This window comes from Homo sapiens, chromosome 15 (genome assembly GCF_000001405.40).
Source record: "Homo sapiens chromosome 15, GRCh38.p14 Primary Assembly".
Classification (NCBI taxonomy): Eukaryota; Metazoa; Chordata; class Mammalia; order Primates; family Hominidae; genus Homo; species Homo sapiens.
The window spans coordinates 98,590,406-98,615,582 of record NC_000015.10 but is presented as its reverse complement, the minus strand read 5'-3'; the positions used below and the strand labels follow the sequence as shown (position 1 = coordinate 98,615,582).

At 45.8% G+C, this 25,177-nt stretch overlaps 5 annotated features.

Moving 5' to 3' along the window:
• Positions 10,043-10,543: an enhancer, noted in NCBI's record as "H3K4me1 hESC enhancer chr15:99148269-99148769 (GRCh37/hg19 assembly coordinates)". NCBI's record gives its function as "activates a minimal SCP1, AML or CMV promoter by ChIP-STARR-seq in naive H9 embryonic stem cells {active_cell/tissue: H9 hESC(naive)}" and the evidence as "EXISTENCE:reporter gene assay evidence [ECO:0000049][PMID:30033119]".
• Positions 14,591-15,091: an enhancer, noted in NCBI's record as "H3K4me1 hESC enhancer chr15:99143721-99144221 (GRCh37/hg19 assembly coordinates)". NCBI's record gives its function as "activates a minimal SCP1, AML or CMV promoter by ChIP-STARR-seq in naive H9 embryonic stem cells {active_cell/tissue: H9 hESC(naive)}" and the evidence as "EXISTENCE:reporter gene assay evidence [ECO:0000049][PMID:30033119]".
• Positions 14,819-14,968: an enhancer, noted in NCBI's record as "active region_10140". NCBI's record gives its function as "activates an Ori minimal core promoter by ATAC-STARR-seq in GM12878 lymphoblastoid cells {active_cell/tissue: GM12878}" and the evidence as "EXISTENCE:reporter gene assay evidence [ECO:0000049][PMID:35858748]".
• Positions 15,092-15,592: an enhancer, noted in NCBI's record as "H3K4me1 hESC enhancer chr15:99143220-99143720 (GRCh37/hg19 assembly coordinates)". NCBI's record gives its function as "activates a minimal SCP1, AML or CMV promoter by ChIP-STARR-seq in naive H9 embryonic stem cells {active_cell/tissue: H9 hESC(naive)}" and the evidence as "EXISTENCE:reporter gene assay evidence [ECO:0000049][PMID:30033119]".
• Positions 22,698-23,197: an enhancer, noted in NCBI's record as "H3K4me1 hESC enhancer chr15:99135615-99136114 (GRCh37/hg19 assembly coordinates)". NCBI's record gives its function as "activates a minimal SCP1, AML or CMV promoter by ChIP-STARR-seq in naive H9 embryonic stem cells {active_cell/tissue: H9 hESC(naive)}" and the evidence as "EXISTENCE:reporter gene assay evidence [ECO:0000049][PMID:30033119]".

Genomic DNA, 25,177 nt, shown 5'->3' with positions numbered 1-25,177 from the left:
CTACTCGGGAGGCTGAGGCAGGAGAATTGCTTGAACCCAGGAGGCAAAGGTTGCAGTGAGCTGAGATCTCGCCACCGCACTCCAGCCTGGGTGACAGAGAGACTCTGTCTCAAAAAAAAAAAAAAAAGAAAAGAGTGAGTTCACAAAGTGCAGGTTACAAAGTCCCTGGTTAGTTGACACCTAGATTCTAGTTTGGCAGCACTTTTTTTTTTTTTTTTTTTGAAACAGAGTCTTGCTCTGTCACCCAGGCTGGCGTGCAGTGGCACGATCTCGGCTCACTGAAAGCTCCACCTCCTGGGTTTACGCCATTCCCCTCGCCTCAGCCTCCTGACTAGCTGGGACTACAGGTGCCCACCACCACACCTGGCTAATTTTTTGTATTTTTAGTAGAGACGGGGTTTCACCGTGTTAGCCAGGATGGTCTTGATCTCCTGACCTCGTGATCCGCCTGCCTTGGCCTCCTAAAGTGCTGGGATTACAGGCATGAGCCACCACGCCTGGCCCAGCAATATTTTTTATTCTGCCTCTGGCCTGGGTCTGCTGTCCCTTGATTTTCCAGCAGGTAGCCTCCCCGCTACTCGTATTCAAGGCCAAACCTCAACTCCATTGTTCCTATTCTGTTTCTGATGCTCTCTGTAAGCCTCTTATTGAGTTCCAGGTTCTGGAAAGAACAAATCAAATGTTCTGTGTTTAGTCATCCGACTAAAATGTGAGGGGCACTCACCACATGCCAGGCCTGTAAAATGCCTTCCCAGTTGCATGCCTGGACAATGTACCTGGCTCCCAGACCTTCCTGAGATAATTGTTTCTTTTTCTTTTTTTTTTTTTTTTTCAGATGGAGTCTCGCTCTGTTGCCCATGCTGGAGTGCAGTGGCACGACCTCGGCTCACTGTAACCTCAGCCTCCTGGGTTCAAGCAATTCTCCTGCCTCAGCCTCCCGAGTAGCTGGGATTACAGGCAAGCGCCACCACACCCACCGAATTTTTGTATTTTTAGTAGAGACGGGGTTTCACCATGTTCACCAGGCTAGTCTTGAACTCCTGACCTCAAGTGATCCACCCGCCTCGGCCACCCAAAGTGTTGGGACTACAAGCGTGAGCCACTGCACCTAGTCAACTCTTTCTTTTCTCTATGAGTGGGGCCTCAACTAAAGAAGCTCATGGAACTTCCAGCCCTCAGAAGCTTCCCCTTCAGGGGAAACGCATCCAACTGTGCAACATGGGATTGAGAACAGTATACTTTTTTTTCTTTTAATAAGGCTTTGAACATTTCATGCAGAATAGAAAGTTTCTCTGGAGTTCATAAAAAAGAAATATTAAGCAAGAAGGAAAGTCTCCTGGAGGTGTCATGGAAGCTTCTAGGTTCTGGTGAGGACATGTGTAAATCATGATATTCTAGCTTAGTCAGATGGCCAGGGGGAGGGCAACCCCAGTGGCTGATAAGGCTTGAGCTCGCACATCACTGAGGCATTGTAAAGCACTAAGGCCTGAAGTCTGAATGTCCCGGTGGCATTTCTCAAAAGTGCTGTGACCCTTTCTTTTTTTTTCTTTTGAGATGGAGTCTCGTTCTGTCACCCAGGCTGGAGTGCAGTGGCATAATCTCGGCTCACTGTAACCTCCGCCTCCTGAGTTCAAGCAGTTCTCCTGCCTCAGCCTTCCAAGGAGCTGGGATTACAGGTGCCCACCACCACGCCCAGCTAATTTTTGTACTTTTTTAAGTAGAGATGGGGTTTCCTCTTGTTGGCCAGGCTGGTCTCAAACTTCTGATCTCAAGTGATCTGGCCACCTCGGCCTCCCAAAGTGCTGGGATTACAGGCGTGAGCCACCATGCCCAGCCTGCTGTGACCCTTTCAACAGAGCTGACATCAAGTTCTTTCTTGCGTGGGATCATCCATGCCATTGTCTCCCAGGGGCTGCCCCTTGATGGGGAGTTTATAATTTAAAATATTGATGGTATATTATTATATAATTGATAATATTATATAATGGAAGTAATAAATAATATATAATTAATAACATGTTGATGAGGCCGGGCATGGTGGCTCATGCCTGCAATCCTAGCACTTTGGGAGGCTGAGGTAGATGAATCACCTGAGGTCAGGAGTTTGAGAGCAGCCTGGTCAACATGGCGAAACCCCTTCTCTACTGAAAAAAAAAAAAAAGAAAAAAATTAGCTGGGTGTGGTGGCGGGCGTCTGTAATCCCAGCTACTCAGGAAGCTGAAACAGGAGAATCGCCTGAACGAGGGAGGAAGAGGTTGCAGTGAGCCGAGATCATGCCACTGCACTCCAGCCTGGGAAACAGAGTAAGACTCTATCTCAAAATAATAATAATAATAAGTTGATGATAAATATCAACGATAATGTTAATATAAGATTGATAACTGATATATTGGTAAAGAGGTCCAGGCATTGCCCTGGCTGCCATGATACTGCAATCGACCCAGCAGACAGTCTTCAAGGAACCGGCATTGTAATGTCACGACACAAATAATAAGCATGTAAATAAGCAAACGATTTGGCACCTTCTCCTTTATCCTCCAAGCCTGGTAAAGTAAATCCTCACCCTGGGCCCCTCCTCAATGGGAAGTGCCATGCAACTGGTGGCCAGGACTCCAAGGAGAACAGAAGATAGAGTGAAAACAGGAAATGAAGTTGTGGTTGCAGCAAAGCTGTCTCTTGCTGCATGGTGGCTGACTAGCTGCAAAGTACTTTCACTTGTCCCAGTTCATGGAAGCCTCCCAAGAACCCTGAGAGAAAACCATCATCCCGTGTGTTATCGTCCATTTCAGAGGTAAGGTCTCAAGGCTCAAGCTTGCTCAAGGTTACACAGAGCCTGCACTTGAACTGAGGTCCTTTCTTCATTTGATATTGTTCCCACTGAACTCACTCAAAAGGGCGGAGACAGAGCCCTGCGAGATGATTACTTCCAGTCCCAGGAACCAAGGGCATGCTCCAGAAGAAAGCTGCTTCTACACAGAATTCCATTTCTCAGAATGTGTTTTGCTGGGAAGGGGAGTTGAAAATTCTCATTCTGGCCAGGTGCAGTAGTTCACACCTGTAATCCCAGCACTTTGGGAGGCTGAGGTGGGAGGTCAGGGGTTCGAGACCAGCTTGGCCAACATGGTGAAACCCCCATTTCTACTAAAAATACAAAAATTAGCTGGGCATGGTGGCGCATGCCTGTAATCCCAACTACTTGGGAGGCTGAGGCAGGAGAATCGCTTGAACCCAGGAGGCAGAGGTTGCAGTGAGCCAAGATGCCACTGCACTCCAGCCTGGGCGACAAGAGCGAGACTCGGTCTCAAAAAAAAAAAGGAAAAAAAAGAAAATTCCCATTCTGCAGGTTCCACTCCTCCACCCACCTCATCACAGCCTTCAGAGTAGGTGCTTGGTGAGATGTCAGCCAGGACCATTTCCACCTGATATGATTCCAGCTCTGAAGGAGGCAGGAGAAATCCACAACCACTCTTAGACTGAGCAATGGGGATTTTACACCTGTTTTTCAAAATATCATGTGCACTCCCACTGGTGGACAGGGAGCATGAAACCTTTGTTGACACAGCTGTGGACAATTCTCCTTGAAATAGAGACCTGTTCATTGTTTACAGGGCAATAGTCAATAGTGTACTTAAATACTATTTTTGAATCTACAAGATATATTGGCAGATAATAACATTTTCTTCCTCTTCCATTGACCAAGCAATAATAAAAGGGTCACAGGCGGGGCACGGTGGCTCATGCCTATAATCCCAGCACTTTGGGAGGCCAAGACAGGTGGATTGCTCGAGGTCAGGAGTTTGAGACCAGGCTGGGCAACATGGAAAAACCTTGTCTCTACCAAAATAATAATAATAATCAGCCAAGTCTGGTGGTGCACCTGTAGTCCCAGCTACTCCAGAGGTTGAGGTAGGAGGATCACTGGAGCCCAGGAAATCAAGGATGCAGTTGGTTGTGTTGGCACCATTGCACTCCAGCCTAGGGTGACAAAGTGAGACCCTGTCTCAAAAAAAAAAAAAAAAAAAAAGTTCATCAATTACAGTCCAATAAAAACAGTCACCAATAAGAGTCCAATAAAGTTATTTAGGGGATGAGTAACTTTACAACGGGCTGATAGTTGGTGTTTATCATGCTCTCAGATCACACTAGTGGACTGATTAACACTTGCTCCTTCCCCTCTCTATCCAGCAGAGAAATTTTGAGAGAAGCATAAAGTCCAAGAGGGAAAATGAATTTTCAGTTAGTCTAGCTGGAGGAATTTTGGGGCATTCATGCAGACACCCAGTGGAGTTAGTCTGTCCACACATAATAGACCTCTCTTGCTGGAGCTTGTGCCTGGAGTTCCCCAGCCCCTTTCGACATCCCCTGGGTAGGCGTCTGGGGTGAGCACGCCCGGGTTCTTGCTTAACCTTCAACAGAGGCCTTGCCCAAGGTCAGACAGGGCCCAGGTAGCCAATATTTCTGGGATGCTGGGAGCTGAAGATACCAAGGTAGATTACTTGCTGGGGAACAGATCTCAAATAGGAAGCAGTCACATCATGACTATTTGCTTTACTGAACTATGAGACAAGAACAGAACTATCCTGATAAGCAATAAAATGTCTCCCCAGGCTGAGCGTGGTGGCTCACGCCTGTAATCCCAGCACTTTGGGAGGCCAAGGTGGGTGGATCACCTGAGGTCAGGAGTTCAAGACCAGCCTGGCTAACATGGTGAAACCCCGTTTCTACTAAAAATACAAAAAATTAGCCGGGTGTGTGGCACATGCCTATAATCTCAGCTACCCAGGAGGCTGAGGCAGGAGAATTGCTTGAACCCGGGAGGTAAAGGTTGCAGTGAGCTGAGATCACGCCATTGTACTCCAGCTTGGGCAACAACAGCGAAACTCTGTCTCAAAAACAAAAAAGTCTCCCCTTTCTCCCTTTCTCTTCCTTTGCCCTCTCTTTTCCATTGACTTTCTTTTAGATAAATGCTTTATTTTTGTGAAATGATACCTGCTCACAGAAAAATATTCAAAAAACGTTGAAAAGTACAAAGGAAAAAAGCCTAAATTGCTTGAATTCTAATCACCTGAAGGGTAACTACTGTTAACCTTTTTGTGGCAGAATGTGTGTGTGTGTGTGTGTGTGTGTGTGTGTGTGTGTGTGTGTGTGTGTGTGACTTTTAAGGCTTTAACAACAGGCCGGGCGCGGTGGCTCATGCCTGTAATCCCAGCACTTTGGGAGGCCAAGGTGGGCAGATCACCTTAGGTCAGGAGTTCAAGACCAGCCTGGCCAACATGGTGAAACCCCATCTCTACTAAAAATACAAAAATTAACCGGCCGTGGTGGCTTGCGCGCCTATCTTCCCAGCTACCTGGGAGGCTGAGGTGGGAGAATCACTTGAATCCAGGAGGCGGAGGTTGCAGTGAGCCGAGATCGCACCACTGCACTCCAGCCTGGGTGACAGAGCGAGACACTGTCTCAAAAACAAAACAAAATAAAGCTTTAACAGAGCATAGCACACCTGCAGCAAAGTGCACAAATCATCCGTGTGCTGCTGGATGCACACTTCTGTGTACAGCAAATTGAAAACCGCCGTAGAGCCAGCACCCACAGGGTGCCCCCTCCACGAATACATACCCCCCAACCACGAACGCTAACTTATTTATCACCTCTGGGAACACTTTGGTGGATGTCCTCTCAGACTTTTATGAAACACCTGTGATCTTAAAAACAAATCTGGTAACGACCATGCTCTCCCAAAATCAGAACTGTAAAAACAGCCCACATACCACAACTTAATTGGCATTCCTGCCTATATGACTCATTCCGCAAAACTCCACCGGGAGTCAACGTGCTCCTGAATCCTGGTCCACAGCCTGGCTGCCTGCTGGAGCCAGCTGGGGAGCTTTAAAACTGGTGGTGCCTGGGCCCCACCTCCAGTGTGGCTGACTTAACTGGTCCAGGTGGGACCTGGCATTTGTGTAGATGTATCTCTTATCTCCCCAGGGGATCCTAATGTGATACCAAGGGGAGCACCTCTGCTCTGAGGTCGTTTTTTACTACACGAATGCACTGCAAGTAGGACTGTGAGGTGCTGTCCCAACTGACTTGACTCCACAGAGACCACTGTGAGGCCAGATAGAGACCATCATCCACTCTTGCCAGTGTGAACGCTGGGGCTCAGGAGGTCGTGGTTCTATGCCTGGACTGCACAGTGTTGGTGGGAGGTGCACATCCTGCCTAGAGCCCAGGCCTTTTCAGCCTTGGCCCAGGTCATGGGTACAGGCCAATGGATGGAACAGAGGCAGCCCAAGCCCGAGGAAGTGTTCCACCGTCATGGCCTCATCATCTGGGGGTGAGGCTGAGTGGGCTGGGCTTGTCCAGGGAGCACAGCCTCTTGGGTTTCACAGGTAGGAATCCAAGCTGGCACAGAAATGTGCCTGAACATCCACAGAATAATTCTGGAAAAACAGGCAGGAGACTGAGAGGGCAACCTGTTTCCCTCTAGAAAGGTGACACAGGTGGAGAGGGCTCAAGTGCCTGGATTGCCCAGATTTAAAATTTTTATTATCAAAGCCAGGCGCGGTGGCTCACACCTGCAATCCCAGCACTTTGGGAAGCTGAGGTGGGTGGATTATTTGAGGTCAGGAGTTCAAGACAAGCCTGGCCAACATGGGGAAAACCTGTCTCTACTACAAATACAAAAATTAGCTGGGCGTGGTGGCAGGTGCCTGGAGTCCCAGTTACTCAGGAGGCTGAGGCAGGATAATCGCTTGAACCCGGGAGGTGGAGGTTGCAGTGAGCTGAGATCACGCCATCGCACTCCAGCCTGGGCAACAGAGTAGGACTCTGTCTCAAAAAACAACAGCAACAAATTTCTTATCAAAAATTTCAAATATACAGAGAAGTAGCGAGAATGGACTACATTATTTATTATTTAAAAATGATTAAGATCTCAGAATGAAGAGATAAATAAAAGAAGCAATGGATGGGCATTTCTAAACCATTAGGAATTGAAATTAAGAGGATGTTTTGCGTTTTTCCTCAATTTTTATTTTTTTGCATCTAGAGTTCACTAGGACCTAAGCTTAGCGAGGGCAGGGATTTCTGTCTCTTTAGCTCACTACTCTTTCTCTAGTGTCTAGGACAGCTCTTAACACACAGAGGATAAAAAATCTGAGGATAAATGAGTAAATGTATGAATTGAGCATGCATTGCTTTTGTATTTGGGAGGAATCCATTCTAAACAGATACATATATAGATAGATAGATATAGATGTAGATATATATCAATCAAGAAGTATTCTCTTCTTATATAAATAAACCCAGGAAAATCATCAGACATCTCAGCCATTGAACCTACTAATTTATAAACGATGTGTGTGTGAAAATGATGTGCAGTTTATTCATGAGGGAAAATATAGAATCAGGTGCCAAGTGGCAGGTCTGGGGTCCTATGCTTTTGTGTATTCTCCAAATAGGGAAGAAGACAGGAGTGGAGGGTCTCCTTAGTGTCCTGGGGCCTTGACCACACAACCACCCCTGTTTCCTCACCCATCTATCACCCAAGACAATGACAGAAGGGGGCCTTGCTATCTCTTTACAGCAGGGCAGAAAATGCCAGCCAAGGAAGGTAAATGAGAGACTTCAGGACTTGGCCCCAGACAGTTGACTTGGACTACATTTGTCCTGAAGGGACAGGCTGGATCCATTGAAAATTAACCCGGCTGGGTGTGGTGGCATGCGCCTGAAATCCCAGAAGTTTGGGAGGCAGAAGCAGGTGGATTGCTTGAGCCCAGGAGTTTGAGACCAGCCTGGGCAACATGGAGAAACCCCGACTCTACAAAAAATACAAAAATTAGTGGGGTGTGGTGGGGATGCCTGTGGTCCCAGCTACTCAGGAGGCTGAGGTGGGAGGATCACTTGAGCCCAGGAGGCCAAGGCTGCAGTGAACCAAAATTGCACCACTGCACCTCAGCCTGGGCAGCATAGTGAGACCTTGCCAAAAAAAAAAAAAAAAAAAAGCCAGGCATGGTGGCTCATGCCTGTAATCCCAGCACTTTGTGAGGCCAAGGCAGGCAGATCACTTGAGGTCAGGAGTTCGAGACCAGCCTGGCCAACATGATGAAATCCCATCTCTACTAAAAATACAAAAATCAGCTGGGCATGGTGGCACATGCTTGTAATTTTAGCTACTTGGGAGGCTGAGGCAGGAGGATTGCTTGAACCTGGGAGCCGGAGGCTGCAGTGAGCTGAGATTGCACCACTGCACTCCAGCCTGGGTGACAGAATGAGACTTCATCTCAATAAAATAAAATAAAATAAAATAAAATAAAATAACCTTGAGCATCCTCAGGTGTCCCATCTTTAGAATCTCTCAGCATTTATAAAATTCACTGCCACACTGCAATTATGTCTTCTCCCTTCTTAAATAGGCTTGGGTTTATGGAAAATAACAACAAATGAAACCATAGCTAACATGTAGAAGGCATTTACAGATTTCCAAGAGCCTTCAGACCAAATGTTTCACGAAAGTCCTGTGATGAAAACCATATAGTTACAATGATTCTTGTCCATTTTCTAGATGAGGAGACTGAGGCTGAAAATTTACTGGATTTGCCCAAATGACAGAGGGGCTAGGACCTGAGCCAAGGTCCCCCACTTCTAGAGCCAATCATCTGTATGTTACTTCCTGCAGTTGTAGGAGTTGTTCCTACCCAACGCCCTCCCTGTCTGTTCCCATGTATAACAGGATCTCACAGCAAGTTCTGGGCACTTGGGGGACAGGTTAAATTGGGGTTAGCACTGGAAAGTCCTGTTTTCTCATCCATAAAAGTAGGAGTTTAGATCAGGTGACCTTTGGGCATCCCTAAATCCTGAGACGTTTTTATTTTCTGCTCCATTTCAAAGGTCAAGAGATCAGGTCCCTGGCCAGGTAGACTCCACTGAGGGCAAAGCAAGAAGAAAAGATGTCCGTGGTGACCTTTTCCATCTGCATTTACCATCAGATACCAAAGAGACCGTTGGTTTTTTACTCAGCAAACATTTATTGGGGTTACCGTGTGCCGGTATCACTCTAGAAGCTACAGACCCACAGACAATGCCTGGGTCAGCCTCCTCCTTCTGTCCAAGAGAGAGACTGGTGATTCAGAACCAGCTCAGGGAGGTCAGGCGGGAGGATGGGTGAGATTCCATGGTTCCAGAGAGAACTGCTGCCATCTTGGCGGCCGTGGAGAGGGTGCCAAGGAAGGTTCTAGAAGAGCAGAGGCTAAAGCATGGCCTTGCAGAGAGGGTTGGGGTTACCTGGTAGACTGAGAGGCCCATGCATCTTAGGAGTGAAGAGCAGGCATCTTCCATGCAATTTGCCCCTGTGTTTTCATCTCCCAACCCCTCTTCAACTTTCTCATTTAGCTTTCTCTCACTGGTGATGAGAAAATCCTTAGTCCACTACTCTGTGAAAAGCTGTAGAAAGTTCCCTGAAGTACAAGAGGATGAAATGATTTCCTTCCAGGAATAAATGAATGAGGAGGAAGGAATCTCCTCCTGAGACCATTGGAACCTCAGTGTTGTTTCCTGCCCCAACTAGCTCACCTAGCAGTCAAGGTAAATACCAGAAACTACCCATCTGCCACGTGGGAGGGGCCCTAGGAAACAGATAGGAGAAACAGAAGCTGTTCAATTACTTTTTTTTTTTTTTAGATGGAGTCTCGCTCTGTCACCCAGGCTGCAGTGCAGTGTCACCATCTTGGCTCACTGCAACTTCCCTTCCCAGCTTCAAGCAATTCACCTGCCTCAGTCTCCCGAATAGCTGGGACTACAGGCACACATCACCATGCCTGGCTAATTTTTATATTTTTAGTAGAGACGGGGTTTCACTATGTTGGCCAGGCTGGTCTCGAACTCCTAACCTTCTGATCCGCCCACCTCGGCCTCCCGAAATGCTGGGATTACAGGCATGAACCACTGCTCCCGGCCACTGTTCAATAACTTTCTTTTCCCCACTAACTCTCATCCTTCCTGGGATTGTTAGAAAATGGAATTCCCGCTGCCTGCAGCCTCTAAGCCTCTGCTGCTGGGTTCATGCTGAGTTTTTAACTGCCATTTCTGTGTTCTCAGGTCCTTCCCAAACTTCCAAACAAATACTGTTTGGAAGTTTCTGCTTCTGTTTTGGACTATGATGAAATATTTCCATAAATTATTAGTCCGTTGAGACCCAACATAAAAACAGCAAGCGTACGTGCAACACTTCGGACTTTGCTACTGTTGCTGGTCGTCCTGGCCCGCGGCAGAACCAACCATCACTGGAGAAGTCAATCAGCTGACACAGGAGCTCCTTCCCTAACACAGGGCCTTTTGCATCTACCCTGCTAAGCGCGCATGTGCAGAGGAGAGTCCCTTGGAATCAGCAGCCAATGTCCTCATTTCCTTGGGTGGCATTTTGCCAAATCCGTATTCCACAGGTGCTCCTGGCTCCCTCTCCTTCACTTTTTCCCAGCAGAGCTGCTCATCCAGTGGCACTGAAAATGGGTTTTGAGGCCGGGTGCGGTGGCTCACGCCTGTAACCCCAGCACTTTGGGAGGCCGAGGCAGGCGGATCATGAGGTCGGGAGATCCAGACTATCCTGGCCAACATGGTGAAATCCCGTCTCTACTAAAACTACAAAAATTAGCTGGGTGTGGTGGCGCGTGCCTGTAATCCCAGCTACTCGGCAGGCTGACCCAGGAGGCAGAGGTTGCAGTGAGCTGAGATCCCGCCACTGCACTCCAGCCTGGTGACAGAGCGAGACTCTGTCAAAAAAAAAAAGAAAAAAAAGAAAAAAAAAAAAGAAGAAGAAAACAAAAGAAAAGAAAATGGGCTTTGTTGCTTCCCTGAGTCATCTCCACCTTCCCCCAAACTCTTCTCCCAGGTTGGTCCTTTTCTTCTCAGGATCCAGGTTTTATTCATGATGTTCCTCTTGTCTGGAAAGACCCCCTCCTGCTCCCTGCACTCCTCCCTCCTTCTGCTGCCTTCTCTCCTTCTCCCAGGTCTATATCAAACCCAGGCTCCCCAAGAAGCTCACCCACTCTGATGGCAGGCCCTGCTCTGTGATGCTCCTGGTTGGCTGATCTTCTCATCTCCACGTGGATGGAAGGTGCCACAAGGATGGGAGCCACCTTCCTCACCTTTGTTCCCTGGGAAGCACTTGTCACATGCCCTGTGTGTCCCAGATGCTTCGTGGGTGAGCACGTATTGAATTGGAATCTCCAGAAGGAGCAGGAGAATACATGGCCTAACACTCAGAGAAATTGTGTGAAAATCATTCCATATTTTCTTCGTGTATCCAGTGGAAATACTGTAAACAGCAGGACCACTATCCTGTAGGCAGATGTCATTTACTTTGTGCATAGACTTTCTTAACACTTATGAGGCACTACCTGCACGCAAGGGCTTGGGGGGTGGGAAATACCACCAAAAAAGCCCCCACTTGAGATATTTAGCTAGTGCCTGAGAAAATAAAATAATTGTTAGGGTGTGTTTATTTGAAAGTTTTGAAAAAAATACTTAGGTGGTGTTTCTAATTCTCAAAAGAATTACTTTTTTTTTAAGTGCTTAGCATTCTTCAGTAGGAAGGACCTTGAAAAGTACATCCGTTGTTGTTCTATGAAGTAAATGAATTCTGTTCTTTGCATGATGACATTTTCTAGTACTTATATTGAGAAAAGTGGAAAGTTTAACTCCTAACCATTGTCATTTCTTTCCAATTTAATGTCAAAACATTTTTTTTAACCATTAGGGATAGAAATAGTCTAACAGGTGTGCTATGGTGTGTTATGAACAAAATGATAAATTAAGGTGTTTAGCACAGAGTTACAGAGATGTTAACTATGTACTAATTTTATATTTCAAATATATTTACTGAGATATAATTCACATACCATAAAATTCACCCATTTAAAGTGTTAAATTCAGTGGTGTTCTATATTCATAGAGTTATGCAATCATCCGCCATGATCTAATTTTAAAGCATAGATTTTTCTTTTCTTTCTTTCTTTTTTTTTTAGAGACAAGGTCTTGCTCTGTCACCCAGGCTGGAGTGCAGTGGCTTGATCCTAGCTCACGACGGCTTTGAACTCCTGGGCTCAAGCGGTCCTCCAGCCTCAGCCTCCAGAGCAGCTAGGACTACAGGTACGTGCTACCATGGCCAGCTCATTTTTATGGTTTTTTTTTTTTCTTTTTTTTGTAGAGATAGGATCTCACTATGTTGCCAAAGCTTGTTTGGAACTCCTGGCCTCAAGCGATCCACCCGCCTCAGCCTCCCAAACTGCTGGGATTATAGGTGTGAACCACTGCACCCAGCCTAAGTTTAGAACATTTTCATCACCCCAAAAATAAACCCCAAACCTTTTAGCAGTCATTCCCTACCGTCTTCACCACCCCTAGTCTTAGAGAAACATTAATCTACTTTCTATCTTTATAGATGTGCCTATTCTAGACATTTTATATAAACAGAATCATATAATATGTGCTATTTTATTCACGGTTTTTTTCACTTAGGATACTGTTCTCCAGATTTATCCACACTGTAGTATATATCAGCACTTCATTCCTTTTTATGGCTGAATAATATTACATTACATGGATATACCACATTTTATCTATTCATAGTTGATAAACACTTTAGTTGTTTCCACTTTTTTACTATTATAAATAACGCTGCTACGAACATTTATGTATAAGCTTTTGTGGATGTAGATTTCATTTCTCTCTCTTTTTTTTTTTTTTTTTTGAGATGGAGTCTCACTCTGTTGCTCAGTCTGGAGTGCAATGCCACCATCTTGGCTCACTGCAACCTCCACCTCCTGGGTTCAAACAATTCTTCTGCCTCAGTCTCCCAAGTAGCTGGGATTACAGGCATGTGCCACCACACCCAGCTGATTTTTGTATTTTTAGTAGAGACAGGGTCTCACCATGTTGGCCAGCCTGGTCTCAAACTCCTGACCTCAGGTGATCTGCCCACCTTGGCTTCCCAAAGTGCTGGGATTATAGGCGTGAGCCACCACGCCTGGCCAGATTTCATTTCTCTTAGGTAAACACCTAGGAGTGGAACTGCCAGGTCATATGGCTACTCTGTGTCTAACATTTTGAGAAACTGTGACACTGTTTTCCACAGTGGCTGGACTATTTTACATTTCCGCCGGCAGCATATGAGGGTTCCAATTTCTCCACATTCTTACTACTACTTGCTTTCATCTGTCATTTTTATTATTGCCATCTTAGAAGATGTGAAGTGGCATCTCACTGTGGTTTTGACTTGCACTTCCCTGATGGCTAATGATGTGGAGCAGTGGTCCCCAACCTTTTTGCCACCAGGGACCAGTTTCATGGAAGACAGTTTTTCCACAGATGTGGTGTGGAGGGAGCAGCATGGCTTCGGGATGAAATTGTTCCATCTCAGATCATCAGGCATTAGATTCTCATAAAGAGTGTGCAACCTAGATCCCTCGCATGTCAGTTCACAAAAGGGTTCATGCTCTTATGAGAATCTCACGCTGCAGCTGATCTGACAGGAGGCAGAGCTCAGGCAGTAATGCTCACTGGCCCGACTCTCACCTCCTGCCGTGCAGCTGGGTTCCTAACAGGCCACATGGACTGGTACCAGTCCACTGCCCAGGCTTGGGGACTCCTGATGCAAAGCATCTTTTCTTGTGCTTATTGGTCATTGTATACCTTCTTTGGGGAAATATCTAATCAAATCTTTTGCTTATTTTACAATTGGGTTATTTGTCTTTTTTTTTTGTTATTGAGCTATATGAATTCCTGCTGGGTGTAGTGGCTTACATCTGTAATCCCAGCACTTTGAGAGGCCAAGGCAGGGGGATCTCTTGAGCCCAGGATTTTGAGACCAGACTGGGCAACATGGTGAAACCTTGTCTCTACAAACAATATAAAAATTAGGCAGGCTTGGTGGCACATGCCTGTAGTCCCAGTTACTTGAGAGGCTGAAGTTGGAGAATCGCTTGAGCCCAGGAGGTCCAGGCTGCAGTGAGCCGTGACTGTGCCACTGCACTCCAGCCTGGGAGACAGAGAGAGACTCTGCCTTGGTGGGGCCGGGAAACAGAAAGAAAGAATTCTTTATGTATTCTGGATGTTAGTCCCTTATCAAACATAGGATCTGGCTGGGCGTGGTAGCTCACGCCTGTAATCCCAGTACTTTGGGAGGCCAAGGTGGGTGGATCACTTGAGGTCAGGAGTTCGAGACCAGCCTAGCCAACATGGTGAAAGCCCGTATCTAGTAAAAATACAAAAAAATTAGCCAGGCATGGTGGTGCACACCTGTGGTCCCAGCTACTTGGGAGGCTGAGGCAGGAGAATTGCTTGAATCCGGGAGGTGGAGGTTGCAGTGAGCTGAGATTGCACCACTGCACTCCAGCCTGGGGGACAGAGAGAAACTCCATCTCAAAAAAAAAAAAAAAAAAAAAGGTCCTTCAAATATTTTTTCCCATTGTTTTCCAATTTGGCTTTTTAACTTTCTTCCTTTTTTTTGGCCTTACTTTCTTAACAATAAGGTGTTTTGAAAGGAAAAAGTGAAACCAACGATTCAACTTATCTAGACTTTTCTGTAATTTTGTATGGCTAACTCACTATTTTAGAATGATTTGTGTCTCTTGGCTTTCAGTGTTCTACTGTGAAAAGTTATGAAGGTTCAAGTTTTTGTAAGGAAACAAAAATGTCTATAAGAAGACTGATTGGTGTGCTCTCCCTGCGTGTTTACTAAGGCTTTCCTTGGCCACTTTGTTATTTCCCATATTTAAAACATGGCCAAGTTCCTGTGAATGATTGTTTTCAAGGAAATATCTTTGTAATTGAAAACGAACTAAATAATATATTATATGTTTGCTATGAACACAGTGTGGCAGCTTTGAATTCATAGGATTTCAGGCTATCAGTGTAAATCAGGAAACGGCTTCCAGGAAGAGAAAGTGAGAGTGAAAGCAACCGACAGAGAGCAGGCAGGGCCAGGAGAGAGGGCTGCAGGCTCCCTCGCAGGGGAACCCCAAAGAGCACATTCTTTGGGGAGTGACCACCCTCCGGAGCGAGGAGCCTTGGGGATGGGATCCTTGCCAGTGCAGTGTGTGTATGTGTGCGTCAGTGCAGTGTGTGTAAGTGTGCGTGTGTGTGTGTGTGTGTATGTGTGTGTGTACATGCGCATGAGCTGAGAGAGAGAGGAGGAGGAGCAGGAGGTGGCGGAGGCAGGGCAGAAGGTATCTTTTCCCATTGAGACTTTTTTTTGGTCTTTTAAAACCTCTTCCGCGAGCTCAGTCTTTGTAAACATACCTGTATGCCCAATTCTCTCCAGCTCAAGAAATACAGGGGCCTGATTTTTCTCAGAATTGTATTTACCATTTTTTTTTAAGAAGGCCTCAGCTCTGCCCTGGTGCTTAAAGCTCTCTCCTGCACATGTGTATGCGTTACATCCACCCTAGGTCATCAGCTACTCGCAAAAGGTCCTGATCCCACTGCAAATTAAATTCCATTCCAGTTTTTTGAACCTCACATATTTAGTTCATGACATAGGGGCCCTGGAAATGTTATATCTAAAACTTGGTGTGGATTGTTAACTAAAAACTTGGGACTTGGTCTGAAGCCCCCATTCATCCTGAGCAGCAAGAGGAACACGTGGTGGCAAAGCCTGCGGGCTGTCTATTCTCACTATAAATAGGAATGGTCTGTTTTGCAGCTCTCCAGCTTTTAGGCACATAATATTTGCCATATGTATGCTATCGCATCCCTGCTATCTGCATTCACACAAACCATGGATCCCATGCTCTTGTCTTGCTTTCCCGTTGCAACTGCAATTGTTTGTTGATAAATATCTTTTATCTCAATGATGTGGACATAATATCCACACTCTTCTCCCGACGTGTATGAAAGACGGAAGAAGGGAGAAGGAGAAAACAGACACGGAGGACCTACTAGGAGCCATGAGCTTTGCCCAGTGCTTTCTTTACTCTAGCAAGGACATTAAACGCACTTAGTGATCATTAGTTCCATGCCTACCAGGAGCCAGAGAATTTCCGCACATCATCTCTTGGAGACAGGTATTTTTTCAGCCTTCAATGATGTTAAGTAATTTGCTGGAAGTCACATCTTCTGAGCTTGGATTTGAGTTCAGTAGGTTCTGATTTGGAGCTTTGCTAACTTTGAATTTCAAATTTAAAATGTAAGATTTTGCAGAAGTAGATGGCTTGTCTTTATCACCTAAAAATAAAGCATTCTTTCCCAGGAATGGGTTTGCAGAACTGCATCTACAGCAATTCAGGCTGGGGCGTGCAGCCAGATGACCTGGGTTTGAATCCTGGCTCTACCCCTTGCTGGCTCTGTGACCTTGGGCAACAATTTAACCTCACTGTCCTTATCTGTAAAATGGGCATAGTGATGATGGTAATTCTACCTACTTAGAAAGGTGTTGTGGCTGGGCGCAATGGTTCACGCCTGTAATCCCAGCACTTTGGGAGGCTGAGGTGGGTGGACTACTTGGTCGGGAGCTCCAGACCATCCTGGCCAACATGGTGAAACCCTGTCTCTACTGAAAATACAAACATTAGCCGGGTATGGTGGTAGGCACCTGTAATCCCAGCTACTCAGGAGACTGAGGCAGTATAATCACTTGAACCTGGAAGGTGGAGGTTGCAGTGAGCCGAGATTGCTCCACTGCACTCCAGGCTGGGCGATACAGCAAGACTCAGTCTCCAAAAAAAAAAAAAAAAAAAAAAAAAAAAAGTGTTGTTAAGATCTGGTAAGATGACCTGTGATGTGTGATAAGCCGTCAATATTAGCCAGTATGACTAAGACTTGCATATACAACCAGAGCTGGAACACCAAGCTACAGGATTGCTTTCGCAGGTGTTGAATTAAATAGATCAATTTGAAAGCAATAAGCCTCTTTCCTTCCTTCCCTCCCTTCCTTCCTTCCTCTCTCTCTCTCTTTCAATGCAAGAGTGGGCTTTCCTAGCAGTCAAATATAACTTAGTTAATTCAACAAATGCTTGTAGAACCGTACTGTAGTGCCAAGTGCTGTGCTGAGTGCGAGCTAGAGATTTGGTAGTGAAAACACAGATTGCACATTCCCATTCTGCAGACTGTGGAGCTCACAGTCTAGTGGGAAAGACACCAATGATACAATCAGACCTACCAGAGGGGAATGCTTTCTCATAAAGTCAACTCTCATGTAAAGTTTTTTAAAAAATCTTCTAAAATTTACCCTGAAATGTATTTTTTTCTTTTGCTTAACAAATTATTGCTTTACGGAATTATATGTTGTGTATTTTCATAAATCTCTTCATCCAACATATGCTATATATGTACATGAAAAGTCTGTATATATACATTTCTACACAAACCTTGTTGACAAACTCTGCTTAATGTTGGTTCCAATTACAAATGGTAAAATTCAATGTTTTTCACACATCAGATATTTAAGTAGTTTTAAAAAGGAAATATCTTAAAATGCCAACTGGAATATTTTCGGAGCAAAGTGTCATCTTAATGAGGATTCATGATGTAGCAGTGGATGGAAGATGTTCTGGTCTTTTAAAATGTATGTTTGGTGTTTCACGAGGCTATTAGAGAGTCCAGGGAACCCTCACTTTTCCTTTTGGATGCCATAAGATTCCTAGAAGGCATCCTGGGGCTTTTCTTTGTTCTTGATGTTCTGATCCTAAATGACTCGGGGCTGTGAACTCCTGGTAAACCAGTGAGTCATAGATCCTGCTCCAAGACACTCTTTGGGAGTGGGGAGTGCTAAGAAAGCAAAACTGATCAAACCGGGTGTGGCTGAGGGGCCCTTCCACAAAGCAAGTAGCTTTGGACACAGGCTGTTGCTTCTAGAAAGGAGGAGTTGCATGTGCAAAGGATACGTGATGGTTTGGTGAGGTGGTACATGTGGGACAGGAACCAGTTGGGTGTCAACAATGACGCAGGTGCCAAGCTGCATGTTCCCCTCCCATGTCTGGCTCAGGAGCCTTCCAACTCACACAACACACAACAGCAAAAACAAAGAACAAAACGAACCAATAATTTGTTTTGGAGATATAACTTCTGGAGAGAGAAGACTCCTTCCCACCCAGGTCTGGACATTTTAAAGACCTGGAGAAGTTTTCAGAGTGGGAGTAGTGTGCAGCGCCATTCTTTCCTGGGGTCCCTCTGGGGCATATTCGCAGGGGACTTCAATGTTGCTCTTGGTAAGTGAAAAAGCCCAAGCATCATGGCCAAGATGTGGAAACCACGTGATCCAGTTCCAGATACAATGCAACATAATGAAAGGAAATATTGTATCATCCTGATTACCTTTAAATAGCTCCCTCTTCATCACTCCCTCTTAAATACACACACACATGCGCACATCTCTTTGGAAGTGGCAGAAGCCAAATGCTTGGAGTTTCCTGGCATTTGAGCTTTGTCTCAGCAGCTCTCAAATGTATACACTGCTCTTCACATCCACTTTGAAGTTAAACGGCACAGCTCCTTTTTTACACACATACGGTCATGACAATAAACATCTCACCATCCTCGTGACTCCCTGTCTACCCTAGCCTTATGTAATTCTCTGGCACACTCACTTTCTCTATGTGTCTTTTAGTGCCTGTTTGCATCATGTAGATTTTAGGTCCATCTGGTAATGACGGTATCTTTCTGTACACAATGTATTCAGTTACCTTTAAACAATAAAAGTTATTTGATATCAGCAATGTGTGTCCCTGGGGGACAGGACGACTGGAGGGCAGCAGGAGCTAGAAGCAGGAGGGTTGCAACACTTTTCAGAAAAAAGCTTTCCGTTTCTCCCAGGCACCAGGGTGGAGCACGTCTATTCCCCCTCCACTGGCACTGATCATGGTGCTCCACAAGAAACCAAAATGGCTTCAGGATCCCTTTGCAAAGTAGAGGTTTGTCCTTGAAGTGCCAGAACAGAGGGAGTTGCTTCAGTCCTGGGTACTAGTGAGCAGCTGCCCAGGCTGATGTTAAAGCCACCGAAGATGGAAGGGGCTAGAGAGGGTGTCTAGAGGTGACTCTCCTTTCACTCCTACCCATATCAAGTTGGCATTGCTGTGGCTCAGAGTATGAAAGATTAATCTTTCCTTTACTTCCCCTCCCTGTGAAGCAAGGGAGACCACCTGCTTGTGGAAAATTGGTTGATGGTGAGTTTTCAAGGGTCCCTTGCAGTGATGCCACCAAGGGGTGGTTTGCAGATGAGGCAGGGGGTTACCACCCCCAGAACTTTTTTCAAAATGACCCCCCAACCCCTAAAGAGGAAGAATTTCTTAGTTGCTCCTCAGACGGTAGCCATGGATCCACACGAGCTTCTCCTAAGAGTTTATTAGAACCGTAGAATCACAGAATTTGCAGCACTTCCTGACCAGAGTCAGCATTTTAACAAGATTCCCCAGGAATTCATGTGCACGTTGGAATCAAAGTGCTCCTCTAAGCCAATGGTCTCCTTTCTCGTGGCACAGTGGAGCATCTGGGAATTATTATTATTGTCATTATTATTATTTTAAGATGGGGTCTTACTCTGTCAGCCAGGCTGGAGTGCAGTGGTGCAATCATGGCTCACTGCAGCCTCGACTCCCTGGACTGAAGTGACCCTCCCACCTCAGCCTCCCGAGCAGCTGGGACTACAGTCGTGCACCACCTCACCCAGCTAATTTTTTGTATTTTTTTTTTTTTGTAGAGATGGGGTTTCTCCATGCTGCCCAGGCTGGACTGGAACTCCTGGGTTCAAATGAGCTACCTGCCTCGGCCTCCCAAAGTGTTGGGATTACAGGTGTGAGCCGCCGCACTCAGCCATATCTGAGAAACTTTCGAAAGGACCCAGGTCCCTGGCCCTCCTCTAGCGACCCCATGTGATTTAAGAACTATTGACATATATGAGTCTGAGCTTTGGAGCCAGACTGACTAGGTCTGTGTCTTCCTTAGTCTCTTAGTAGATGTATCCATTTGGCACAGCTCTATGGTTGCTTCTTGGTCTACAGAATCAGAGAAATAATAGTCGTTATCTCGTAAGATCATTGTGAAGTTTAAAAGAGATGGTATGTATAAACTCTGAAGTATAGTAAGCCCTCAATAAACAATACCTATTATTATCCAAACAGGATTTGCAACAAGTCCCCCACAGCCCTCTTCTCACTCAGTCCCAAGTCCCTTCAGTATTGACACTATGGAGCAAGTTTTTGGTGATCCATTATACTTGGCAATTTACTTGAGTATTGGCCACTATTTCTTCTTCTTTTTTTTTTTTTTTTTTTTTTTCAAGACAGAGTCTCGCTCTGTCGCCCAGACTGGAGTGCAGTGGCACGATCTTGGCTCACTGCAACCTCTGCCTTCAGGGTTCAAGCGATTCTCTCGCCTTGGCCTCCCAAGTAGCTGGGATTACAGGTGCCCACCACCCCGCCCTGCTAACTTTTGTACTTTTAGTAGAGAACGGGGTTTCACCATGTTGGCCAGGCTGGTCTTGAACTCCTGACCTCAGGTGATCTGCCTGCCTCAGCCTCCCAAAGTGCTGTGATTACAGGTGTGAGCCACCACGCCCAGCCCACTCTTTCTAAATTGGCAGTCTCTTTGGTCTTCTTCAGTAAGTTTAATGGGTTCTCATTGCCTGATGATCAATACTGGAGGAATCATCCCTTACTTAAACAACAACAAAACCAAAACTAACCAATCAAACCAACAAACAAAACATTGAAAGCAGGAACCAAATTGTATAGCAAATGATGGGAAAAACAGTATAACTGGAGCTTAATACCAAAAACATAAACTAAAATTTAACGAAAATTATCTAGGCCATAACGAAAACCATGTACCAATTTAAGTAAGAACAAAGGGTGACTCAGCTATTGTCTTTGGTAGTAGGGTTTTGCCAAAACAGTTCCAGTGATAAAATAATGCGATTTTTTTCATCAGGGCTGACCTTTGTAGCTTTTTTTTTTTTTTTACAATTCATACTCTCATTTTATGGCCAATTTGGTTTTTCTTTGCCTTGTATTGTTAGATATTTATAGTGTCATTATCAGAAAGAGGCTGACCTAAAATAATATTTATGTGAGACCAGATTTAATGGCTCATGCCTATAATCCCAGCACTTCAGGAGCCCACGGTGGGAGGGTCACTTGAAGCCAGGAGTTTGAGACCAACCTGAGCAATAAAATTGAGACCCTGTCTCTACAAACAAACAAACAAGCAAACAAAAAATTTAGCCAGGCACAGTGGCGTGTGCCTATAATCCCAGCTAATTGGGCAGCTGAGGCAGGAGGATCACCTGAGCCCATGAGTTTGAGGCTGCAGTGATCTATGATTGCACCATTGTACTCTAGCCTGGGTGACAGTGTGAGACCCTGTCTCAAAAAACAAATGATAACAAAGAAACAATAGTGATGTGATAGGTGTGGGTGGGTGTTACTCTTACACCTGGAAGCCTAGTTAATTGAGAATAAATATTAAAAGTGATCAGTTTGGACTGGACGTGGTGGCTCACGCCTGTAATCCCAGCACTTTGGGAGGCCAAGGCAGGCGAATCAGTTGAGTTAGGAGTTCAAGACTAGCCTGGCCAACATGGTGAAACCCTGTCTCTACTTAAAATACAAAAACTAGCCGGGCATGATGGTACACGCCTGTAATCCTAGCTACTTGGGAGGCAGAGGGCAGAAGGATAGCTTGAACCCAGGAGGTGAAGGTTGCAGTGATCCAAGATTGCGCCACTGCACTCCAGCCTGGATGACAGAGTGAGACTTCGTCTCCAATAAGAAAAAAAAAAAAAAGTGATCAGTTTCTCAGTCAATATTCCATGTTGTGGTCACTCTGACCTCTCTATGTGACCTCGTGACCGTTAGTTCTTGGATATAAATACTGATAGAAGGACCTTTAATATTTAAATCTAATTTGAATTTTTAAAAAATATACAAATTTGCTAATTCCTTTTTTTTTTTTTTTTTGAGACAGAGTCTGGCTCTGTTGCCCGGGCTGGAGTGCAGTGGCGCCATCTTAACTCACTGCAACCTCCACCTCCTGGGTTCGCGCAATTCTTCTGCCTCAGCCTCCCCAATAACTGGAATTACAGGCATGTGCCAGGGAATTACGGGCATGCACCACCATGTGCGGCTAATTTTTGTATTTTTAGTAGAGATGGGGTTTTGCCATGTTGGCCAGGCTGGTCTTGAACTCCTGATCTGAGGTGATCCATCTGCCTTGACCTCCCAAAGTGCTGGAATTACAGGCGTGAGCCACTGCACTCAGCCTAAATTTGCTAATTCTATTAAAATGGCATTGCATTTTTTAGGACCCTCCTTCAAAAGAATTCATATATATATTTCCTAGAACCATAGGATGTTAGCTTTGAAACTAACATCAGAAATAATGTGTCTCAATTTCCTTGTATTCCAAAAGGAAAAACTGAGATCTGGAAAAGCAGAGTGACTTTACTGAGGCTACTGGTCCGACAGGACTAGAAGCCAAAGTTTTGTTTCACATGGATTGTTTTAATTAGGTCTTCGAAGCCCCAGATGACCAATGTTTATGCCTCTCACATCAGAAAATGCGCAAAATCTTATAGGAATTCGCTTTTTATTATTTACTTATTCGTTTATTTAGAGACAGGGTTTTGCTATGTTGTCCAGGCTGGACTCAAACTCCTGCGCTCAAGCAATTTTCCCACCTCCACCCCACCAGCAGCCAGGGATCCAGGTGCAGGAGCGATTGAGCCTAACTAACTTCCTTTGGTTTTCTTTTTGTTTTTTTTCCCCGAGAGGAGTCTCACTCTTATCACCCAGGCTGGAGTGCAGTGGCGCGATCTCAGCTCACTGCAACGCCTGCCTCCCAGTTTCAAGCAATTCTCCTGCCTCAGCCTCCCAAGTAGCTGGGATTACAGGCACCCGCCACCACACCCGGCTAATTTTTGTATTTTTAGTAGAGACGGGGTTTCACCATGTTGGCCAGGCAGGTCTCAAACTCCTGACCTCGTGATCTGCCTGCCTCGGCCTCCCAAAGTGCTGGGATTACAGGCGTGAGCCACTGCACCCAGCCCTGTTGTTGTTTCTTTTACAATGTGGGCATAGAAAAGCTAAAAACAGAGCTGGGAAATCAAATAGAACTTTCAACTGTCCAACCCTTTCTCATGAAGCTCAAGGGGCTGGCAGGGAGAGTGGAGGTGGGGAAATGGAGTGACCAAGTCAGACAGCCTTTAAGGAGGGGCTTGTGGAGGCGGAGCGGGCCGTGGTCGGTCAGGTGAGCGGGACTGGCCTTGCAGACTTGAGCTAGTGCCGTGTAGAGCGGGGATGCTGGCATCAGCTGGCTCTTGAGGCAGCTCCTCCGCTGCCTTGCTCGTCTCACCTGGGGCTCTCTACATCTGCCTCGCTAGCTTGCCACAAGGTGGACCATAGATGGGGCGGGGGGGGTGGGACACAGGGAGAGAAGGAAGTCTTTTAAACCAAATTGAGGCGGGTGGCCTAACCTGTTCCCTACTATGGTGTGTCTGTCACCTCCGGGTGGCTCATGTTGACTGTCATCTTTCTGAGGGAACCATGCGACCTGCAAATGTGCAGGCAGGTGACAGAGCCTAGAGAACGGTGGGCATCTTCACACCTTCCCTCCAGGCAGGGCTGTATGGGAACCGCCTGGAGAGCGGAGCACGAGCCTTCCCCACCTCATTGTATTTAGCATCAAGAAGGTTTCTCATTCATTTTTTAAAAATGTTTCAAGACTATCATTGCAGGCAAACCAAAGAAGGGAGTGTTTCAAAACTATTTTACATAACATATACTATGGTCACCCTGAAATTAGTAAATCCTGTTTCACCCTGGCTTTATTGGGAGACAATCTATTAAGCATTGCTGTCAAGGAGTACACGGTGCCTCCTCCAAACAGATAAGAACGTTAACATTTCCCGTGTCAACTCCTCCGCAAGGATCGTGGCAATTCTTTCCTTCAGGGCTTCACCCCCTACAACAACAGCAAAAGGCAGTCCTGTTTCCTGGGCTTCATCTATGACGAGAGAGAGAAAGTGGCATCCTCTTGGAGGGACCTGTTGGGTTCGTGGCTCAGGAGATATGTGGGCTAGACAGACTTGAAGGGGAAAAGATACAGGCGTGCTTTCTGGGAGACAAACACAGGAGAAAGCAGAAAAGAACAGGGGTAAGTGACAGCAAAAACCAAACCAGGGCCAAGAGTTGGACAGGTTCTGAGACAGAAAGGGTTGAATCAGGAGAACTCTTCCGTGTGTTAATGGCTAAAATATTTGACTTTAGAAACAGTAAGAGTTATTTCCTTCTAGAGCAGTTGTTAACAGCTTCCCCAGAAAGACCCACTGGTTTGGAGAATCACAACGTAGTTGTAAAGCTTAGCAAGGAGGATCTGAGGGCTCCGCAACAGGGGGCAGCTCTGAGCTTTTCCAGACAATGGTTTTCTTGGACCTATTCCATGGCTTGGGAAAAAAGGAAGAAGCAAGAGAAACCCAAGGTGGGTGTGGAGGCACACAGCCTCTGGCGGCCACAATGAATGAGGACATGAAGCTAGAATGCAAGCTTCCTATACATATAAAACCCCAAGGATTGGGAAAATACACACTTGGAAGGGGGGAGCTTTTCTTCTGGTTCTATGTAAGCACAGTGGCTGGGTGTGGTGGTTCCTGCCTGTAATCCCAGCAATTTGGGAGGCAGAGGTGAGAGGATCTCTTGAGGCCAGGAGTTCAAGATCAGCCTAGGAAACATAGCAACATAGCAACACTCTGTTTCTACAAAAAATTAAACAATTAGTCAGTGTGGTGGCACACGCCTGTAGTCCCAGCTACTCATGAGGCCGAGAGAGGAGGACCACTTGAGCCAGGGAGTTTGAGGGTGTCGTGAGCTATTGGTCACACCACTGCACCCCAGCCTGGGCCACAGAGTAAGACCCTGTCTCAGGAAAAAAAAATCTAAACACAATACCAGCTGAGGAAAGAGGGAAGTCTATACAGAAGGAGAAAAATGTTTTAGACAACATGTGCTTTTTGAAGCTTGATGCTTTTATATGTGGTAACAAGATCAGAATTTTGTTCTAGAGAATCTGAAAGAGCTTCTCTGAACATCTACTGAGACCAGGAGAAGCAGGGCCATACCTGGAGCTTCCAACTGTTCAGAAGCATTTGGGTTGTTCCAAGGGTGAAAGGACCCTTCAGCTCCATTAAATATGTCAT